Source organism: Homo sapiens, chromosome 4 (assembly GCF_000001405.40).
Source record: "Homo sapiens chromosome 4, GRCh38.p14 Primary Assembly".
NCBI lineage: Eukaryota > Metazoa > Chordata > Mammalia > Primates > Hominidae > Homo > Homo sapiens.
This window is the reverse complement of record NC_000004.12, coordinates 44,023,353-44,032,257: the sequence shown is the minus strand read 5'-3', so window position 1 is coordinate 44,032,257 and position 8,905 is coordinate 44,023,353.

The window sequence follows — 8,905 nt, the reverse complement described above, 5'->3', positions numbered from 1 at the left end:
ACTTTTTGGCTTTATTGATTTATTTTCTTTTTTTTTAGTGTAAGTCAATCGACGACCTAGTTTGCTGTCTATGGCTATTGGTTCCTTTGGTACAAAGTATTCTGATCATATTCTAACTTGTTGCTCATTATGGTAATTGCTATGACCTCAACTCCCCAATGCCGGCAGATTCAGCACATAATCTGGAGGTCCTCTGTGTCAACATCAGGGCTCTTATAAGGTAAGTGTAGGTCTTAAGGATTGGGAAGAGAATATTTAGGTGAGCTTCATTCCTTCAGGTGCAATCAAATGAATTCTGTGATTGAAGAAGAGAATCCTGATGATGTGCTGCCAACCAGTCTCTGCTATTCTCATATTTTATCATCTCCACTGACACTAAGAAGTTCAGTTCCATGACAGCAATTACTACTGACAATCTCAAACTGCAAAATAGAGTTTTTACTGAGTATTTTATAGATGCTGATGTTCATCCACAGCAGTGGATTCTTCATTGATTTAGAAATGTTAGTTTTCTTCTCAGAAAACATAGTCATGGATGAGTACTGTCATTCTTTAACTTTTTCGACCTTCCTAACCCATCTAACTTCTTGCTCTAACTATGTCAAGGTATTTCTGGCAACACTACCTTCTTATCTGTCACCAATCTTTGTATCTAAGCTTCATGATACCATCATAGCTGTGTTCTAGCCTAATTACAGATTTTTTGAGGATGCTGAATTCCAAAGTCAGAGGTGACCCATTACAAATGGTCACAGACTTAGTGGCTTAAGAGAGCATCTGTTCATGGTTATTCCAGTCAGAAGTCTGGGCATATAATGGCTAGGATTCTTGCTCAGAATATTGCAAGACTAAAAGCAAGATGCAGTGGCTGCATTCTCATCTGGAGCTTGGTATCCTCTTACAAGTTCATTTAGGTTGCAGGAAGAATGCAGTTGATTGCACCCGAAGGAATGAAGCTCACCTAAATATTCTCTTCCCAATCCTTCGGACCTACCCTTACCTTATAAGAGCCCTGATGTTGACACAGAGGACCTCTAGATTATGTGCTGAATCTTCTTTGCAGTTTTGCCTCCCTTACAAATAAAGTTCAGCTTTATTTTCAGGACATTGTTCTTCTGGGAATTAAGATTTCCTTATTTTCGCTGAAGCTGCCTTCCTTTCACAGGAATGAATTAAGGGTTCGACAATCTGAGAAATTACCTTTTTTTAAGATTTCAAATATTGTTAGCAAATCTAGCCAATTCCACAATGCTGTCAATTGACATTGCCTCATTCCTCTCATGTATTATAACTCTTATATAACTCAACTTTTCACCATTTACCTGTGATTCATCCCACTTCAACACAGGTGAGAGCATTATTAATTGTGATATTGCCATAATACTGCTACTTCACACCAGGGTTTATCCACACTTAACAATTTCTATTGCATCTAACTTGTGAACAAGCTCAAAAATTCCATCTCAAGGGTTTCTTTTTAAGAACATAGTACCAGCAATCTTAGACTGAGTATCCTTCGAACAACTGTCTAAGGCAAATGTTTGCAGACAGAAAGTTGATTTGAGAATGTGATCCTAAACAGCAAGAGTGGAACAGGAATTAAAAGAAATTAAAAAATGTGTAAGCAAAAACTCAGTTGTATGTAAGAAAACCCAGTTTCCTCTGAAGAAGGGAAAGAGCTGGAGTCCTTCAAAAACTGACTGCCTGTCTTTCTGTGGCTAGTGAACCTTATCTCTCCCTTTCCCAGGCTTTGTGAAGACTGTGTTTCTCTAGCTGTGCAGCTGCAAGGTCACTAAACAAATAATCTGAAGTCATAAAACATGTTGTTTCTTGAAAAGTAAGAAATAATGTAATGCATGTCTTAATTGAATAACTGTCTTTGTTTCTTACTGTAATATGCTTCCCCCTGCACAGATCTTCCCCCCGCCCCACAAAATGCTTAAAAGGTAGCTCGACTCTTTGTTCAGGGCTCAGTCCTTTGGATGTTAATCCGACTGGGCCAGTGCACCTAAATAATTAAATAATTCCGCCTCAACCTCTTGGTCTCTCTGATTCCTTAATTATCCCGCTGTAAGAGTGGAAGGAGGACAAGGTAGTATGAAAATGAGTTATGAGGCATAAGCACTTGAATTTGTAAGATCTTCTGAGACTTCTGACATGCAGCTCAGAACTGTCTATTTTGTGGAACAAGAATAAGTATTTAGCCATTGGCTTTTATTTTCATTGTACAAGGGTACAATGTGTATTAATCCCTTCACATCTGGGTGGGTATGTGTGACTATTACAGTATTTCCATTGATGTCTTATTCTGTTGGTTAGAGAAATCCTTGGGCAGGAAGAAAGACATGCATTCTGGCTCTGAGGCAAGGTGCTGTTGGGTAGTATGGGCAAGAAGCTGGTCAAAGCCTTGTTATCACAAAAGCGAAGTAGGAGTAAGAGGTGGCTGGAAATTTTTTTTGATACATAACATGCTACATATTTATGGGATATATTGATATTTTGTTACATGCATAGACTGTATACTGATCAAGTCAAGGTATTTGAAGTGTCTGTCACTTTGAGTATTTATCATCTCTATGTTATGAACAATTAAAGTCCTCTCTTCTGCTACTTTGAAATATACAATACATTGCTGTTAAGTATAGTCATTGTACTCTGCTGTCAAACAATAGGACTTATACCTTTTATCTAACTATATGTTTGTATCTGTTAATCTACCTGTCTTCATTCCCTACTCCTGCTTACCCAGCCTTCCCTGATTTTACTATCATTCTACTCTCTACTCCGTGAAACCAACATTTTTAGTTTCCAAATATGAGCAAGAGCATGTAATATTTGTCTTCCTGGGTTATTTCACTTAACATAATGACATCCATTTCCATCCGCATTGCTGCAAATGGCATGATTTCATATTGTTTTATGACCAAATAGTATTCCATTGTGTATACATACCTTATTTTCTTTATCCATTTGTCCATTGATGGACAGTTAGGTTGATTCTGTGTCTTTATTATAGTGAATAGTGCTACAGTAAACATGTGCGTTCAGGTACTCCTTTGGAATATTGATTTCTTTTCCTTTGGATAGATACCCAGTAGTAGGATTGCTAGATGGTATAGCAGTTCTATTTTTAGTATTTTTAGAAATCTCCATACTATTTTTTTATAGTGGCTATACCAATTTACATTTCTAACAACAGTGTATAAGAGTTCCCTTTTCTCCACATCCTCATCAGTATTTGTTATTTTTGTCTTTTTAATAACAGCCATTCTAACTGGGGCAAGATGATATCTCATTGTGGTTTTGATTTGCATTTCTCTGATGATTAGTGATGTTGAACATATTTTTATATATCTATCGGCCATTTGTATGTTTTCTCTAGAGATTTGTCTATTTATGTTCTTTACTCACATTTTAATGGGATTATTTGTGGGTTTTGTTGTTGTTGTTGTTTGAGTCCCTTGTATATTCTGGATATTAGTCCCTTGTCAAATATATATAATAGTTTGTGAATACTTACTCCCATTCAAGTGGTTGTCTCTTCCGTCTGTTCTTTCCTTTGCTGTTCAGAAGCTTTGTAGTTTAATATAGCTCCATTTGTCTATTTTTGTTTTAGTTTTCTGTGCTTTTAAGGTCTTAGTCATAAAGTCTTTGGTGAGACCAATGTCTTGATATGTTTTCACTATATTTTAATTTAGCAGTTTTATACTTTTGGGTCTTACATTTAAGTCTTTAATTAATATTGAGTTGTTTTTTGTATATGGTGGGTGATAGGAGTCCAGTTTTATTCTTCTGCAGATTGATATCCACTTTCCAAACCCCATTTATTGAGCAGAGTATCCTTCCTCAGTGTATGTTCTTGTTGCCTTTGTTGAAAATCAGTTGGTGTTAAATATATGGGTCTATTTCTAAGCCTTCTGTTTCTGTTCCATTGATCTGTGTGTCTATTTTTGTATCAACACCATGCTATTTTGGTCACTATAGAATTACATTTTGAATTCAGATAGTGCGATGCCTCCAGCTTTGTCTTCTTTGCTCAGGAATGCTTTGGCTATTAAGGCTATTCTGTGGTTCCATACAAATTTTGGCTTTTTTTTCTATTTCTATGAAAAATTACATTGGTGTTTTGATAAGAATTGCATTGAATATGTAGATTGCTTTTAGCAGTATGGACATTTTAACAACGTTAATTCTCCTGATCCATGACTTGGGATATCTTTTCCATTTGTTAGTGTCCTCTTCAACGCTGTCATCAGAGTTTTGTAGTTTTCTTCATAGAGATCTTTCACCTCCTTGGTTAAATTCATTTCTACATTTTTTGTTTTTTGTAGCTATTACAAATGGAATTGCCTTCTTGATTTATTTTTCAGCTGTTTCCTTATGGGTATATAGAAATGCTATTGATTTTTATATGTTTATTACATATCCTAGAACTTTACTGAATTTGCTTATTATCTCAAGAAGTTTTTGGTACAGTCTTTGAATTTTATAAATACAAGATCATGACGTCTGCAAAGAGGGACAGTTTGACTTCCTACTTTCTAATTTGAATGCCTTTTATTTCTTTCTCTTGCCTGATTGCTCTGACTAGGACTTTTGGTACAATGCCGAATAAAAATGGGAAAGTGAGCATCCTTGCATTGTTCCAGTTCTTAGAAGAAAGGCTTACAACATATCCCCATTCAGTATGATGTTAGCTATGGGTTTTTCACATGTGGCTTTTAATATTTATAGGTGTGTTCCTTCTATGCCTAGTTTCTAAAGTTTATCAGGAAGAAATGTTAAATTTCATAAAATGCTTTTTCTGCATCTATCAAGATGATCCTATTGTTTTTGTCTTTTTTTCTGTTGATTTAATGTATCACGTTTGTTGATTTGCATGTGTTAAAACATCCTTGCATCCCTGGTATAAATTATACTTGAATATGGCGTATTACCTTTCTGATGTGCTGTTGAATTTTGTTTGCTAGTATTTTTTGAGGGTTTTTGCATCTATATTCATCGGGGATATTGAACTGTTGTTTTAACTGTTTTGTTCTTGTCTGGTTTTGGTGTCAGGGTAAATCTGGCCTTATAAAAGGAGTTAAGGAGAATTTCCTTCTCTTCTAGTTTTTGGAATAATTTGAGGAGCACAGGTATTAGTTTTTCTGTATATGGTTGGTAGAATTTGGCAGTGAATTTATCCAGTCCTGGGCTTTTCATTATTGGTAGACTTTTTATTACTGATTCAATCTTGTTACTCACTATTGGTCTCTTCAGGTTTTCTATTTATTTCTGAAACAAACTTGGTAGGATGTATGTTTTCAGGAATTTATCCATTTTCTCTAGGTTTTCCAAGTTGTTTAGCATATAGTTGGTTCACAATAGTGTTTGCTGATCTTTGCATTTCTGTGATATCAGTTATAATGTCTCCTTTTTCATTTCCAATTTTGTTTATTTGGGCCTTCTTTTTTCCTTTTCTTGGTTAGTCTATCTACAGTTTTATCAATTTTTTTTTACTTTTTTTTTAAAAAAAAACTACGTATATTTCATTCATTATTTGTATTTTGTTAACATCTTTGTTTTGTTTAGTTCTGCTCTGATCTTCATTATTTATCTCCTACTAATTTAGGGTTTGGTTTGTTCTTGTTTTTCTAGTTCCTTGAGGCTCATTGTTAAATTATTTGAAATATTTTTATTTTTATGTAAGTTTTTATTGCTATGAATGTCTCTGTTAGTCCTACTTTTGCTGTGTCCCACAAACTGAAATACATTAAAGTGGTACACAGAGGTTCATTTCTAAAAGTTTCCACCTTCACAGCTGAAAAAAGTGAAAAAGAGAGAGGGTGAATAACTTGCCCAAAGTTATAAGAAAAAGGGAGAGTAGACTCTCAGTTAAATCAGTTTGATTTAACTTATTGAAATGTGTCTATTCAATGAGCATTACCTTCTGTTCTCAATAAGTACGGATGTTGCTGTTTTTCTACCACCTAATTTATCAGCTTTACTAACCCACAGTAATAAGAATTTTGCATGCTTTCACACTCGGCCTACTCTTTTGCTAACAAAATCTGATGCTCAATATCCAGTAGGCAGAGAAAATTGAATGTCACTGTAATGTAGCCTATGTTCTTAGCCTCCTGCACTCAGGGATCTAATGACTTGAACTCACTCACTTGACAAATAGTGCTAATTTTATTGTAATAATTTTCAAAACTCTCAGTTTATCTAGAAAATATATGTATAAGAACTAAATGATGAGAACATATATGTTGTACAACTTCAATACCCACTAGAAATATCAATGGATAATGTGTACACTCATTTATATTACATGGTTTTTGTTATTGGATTAGGTTAACATAGAATGTCCATGACCATTTCTAGTGACACTTAGTTGTTGCTGCCTCCGGTATCCCTGGCACAACTACACAGAATTTGCCTCTGGCTTGTTTCAGTTTGTGCTTCCACATTCTCTTTTGTATATGCATTCTTTTTCCGGTGACCTTTTATTTCCTTTTTCCTCCAAAGTTCCTCACAGTAGGATTGTATATACACTTGTTTTACTTCTGTTGCAAGTTAATTTCTCTAACTTGGAACAGTTAGGGAAGCTGACTCTTAAAGTGTGTGGATTTTTGTTTTGTTTTCTTTTGTTTTGTTTTGTTTTGGTAATGCCTTTAGGCTCACAATTCATGGAAGGAAGTGAAAAGCAGCAGAATTTGGCTGAACTGAAGCTGTGATGAAAGCACGAAAAATAGCATTGACTGAACCCAGGGTGTACTAGAGAGCTAAAAATGGCCCAAGAGTTATTCCTCATTGAAATTAAATGGACAGGCATTTATACTTCTACCTTTATCATTCAAGGTATGTGGGCTATCCCTGGAAGAGGATGATCTTGAACCAGGTGACTTTGCAGCTGAGGTGATCTCTGAAGGGGATGAGATAAAGAATGTCTATGAAGAGCTCTTCCAGCAGCTGGACAACAAGTGTGCTTTTGAAAGGTATGGCCTATTACAATCTCTAATAATCCGTATCTCCAAATTACCATCTCAGTTGCTTCTTAAGATGCATTAAAAACATCCAAAAGTTACTCTGCTTTCAAAGCATGTCATTGTAGATGGAAAGCCAGGCACAGACATTGTAAAATAATGAAAGATACAACTCTTTGTGGCAGAGTGTGGCAGGAAAAAACATTAGAGAAAAATAGTAAATTGTTTTTTATGTAAAAAGTAGGAGCAAGTCACACATCTGATTAGAAATACTTTTTGGTTTATTCTACTAATATTTAAGATTAATAATTGTTTTATCATATCCTGATTAAAAACAATGAAGAAACTTATTGTATTAGATTTTAAGAAACTTATAGTAGTGGTTCTCAAAATGTAGTCCCTTGGCTGGCAGCATCACTGGCACCTGAAAATTTATTAAAAATGCAAATTATTGGGTTCTTCCTTAGACTTACTTAATTATAAACTTTGGTGATGGGTCAAGCAATATGTTTCAACAATTCCTCTGGCTTTTAAAGTTTGGAAACCATTGGTATATAACAAAGTCTGCATGGGGTAAAATTTTTTCTACTAATAACTGAGAAATTGATAAAAATATAAAGAATACAAGTAAAGGAACTGAAAGTTTGTAGACATAGCAGACACAAGTTAGATTTGCATCTGATTATAAACTTTTCTGACAGGTGTTCAACTGTTTTCTCTTATACAAGTAGAACATGTAATACTCTTATTAATCATAATAGTATTTTATTTTTTCTAATATATGTTGGCTATGATAATTTATCCCTTAATAAATCAGAAAGAAATGAGAAATAAAATTAAAACGTTTCACAGATATTAATGCAAAATCCAATTCATATATATTTTTAAATGGCAGAGATTAATTATAAAGCATAGTTTCTCATCAAACAGTAACATGTGGGATCAGCTTCCTTGACATATCTAAGCTTTAATCAGAGGAAATAATTAGAAATTGCTCACTGTAATAACTTACTTTTAGCAATTTGTAGTGTGTTATATATCAACTGAAACAGACCAAGAGAAGGGCAATGGAGATAAATTATGATGTTCATAAAATGCTCATAATGTTAGTAAAGGAGTAATAATTTTTTAAAATACAGATGTAAAAGCAGAAATTATGGCTTAATTTTTTTCACACATTGCAAAGTGCTGAACCGCTATAGTCTCTAGTCTTTCCTTAAGTGCTTCAATATATGAATTGGATTGTTTGAAAGTTTTTAAAACACAAGGATCTTACAGCATTAGAGATGTACTCTTGAAGGCCATAAGAGACTTCTTTGTATATCCATACTATCATCTCTCAGTGATTTTTTTTTGAACAACTGAGTTACAGGAGATATTATCTATCATTTGTTATCCCAGACACTTTTGTCATGATGTTATACTCTGAAAAGCTCTTTGATGAGTGGTGAGATGGATGTGGGGCACAGCCTAAACAACTCTATGTAGCAAATGGGAAAAATTGCCAGTGAATCGGGAAGGGACATTATGAGTTACATGGCAGCAGGAGCTTGAGAAGAGAGACATTGTGCGAAGTTGTATGTTGTGTATAGTAATACCCTTCCATGGTCTCTTCTAGAAATCTTCAGTAAAATGTAAATTGATCTCTACTACACAGTAGGCTATGGTGAGCTTTTTGTACTAAAAATTCAATAAACCTAATGGTTCAGTTAGAATTAAGTAAAGAAATGTGTAACTGGTAAGACAAGGATTTATTTCTATGGTAACAGGGTGAGTCTTTGAATGCCGACATGCTTCAGTATCTGAATTTAAAGCGTCCAAAATTTCCAGCCTCTTCTGATTTTACCAAATTCTCCTTGTATGCCATATATGGAGACCATCTAATTACTGGCATGCCTCACAGAGGAAAAATCAGGGCCATGGAGGGACAGTGTGCC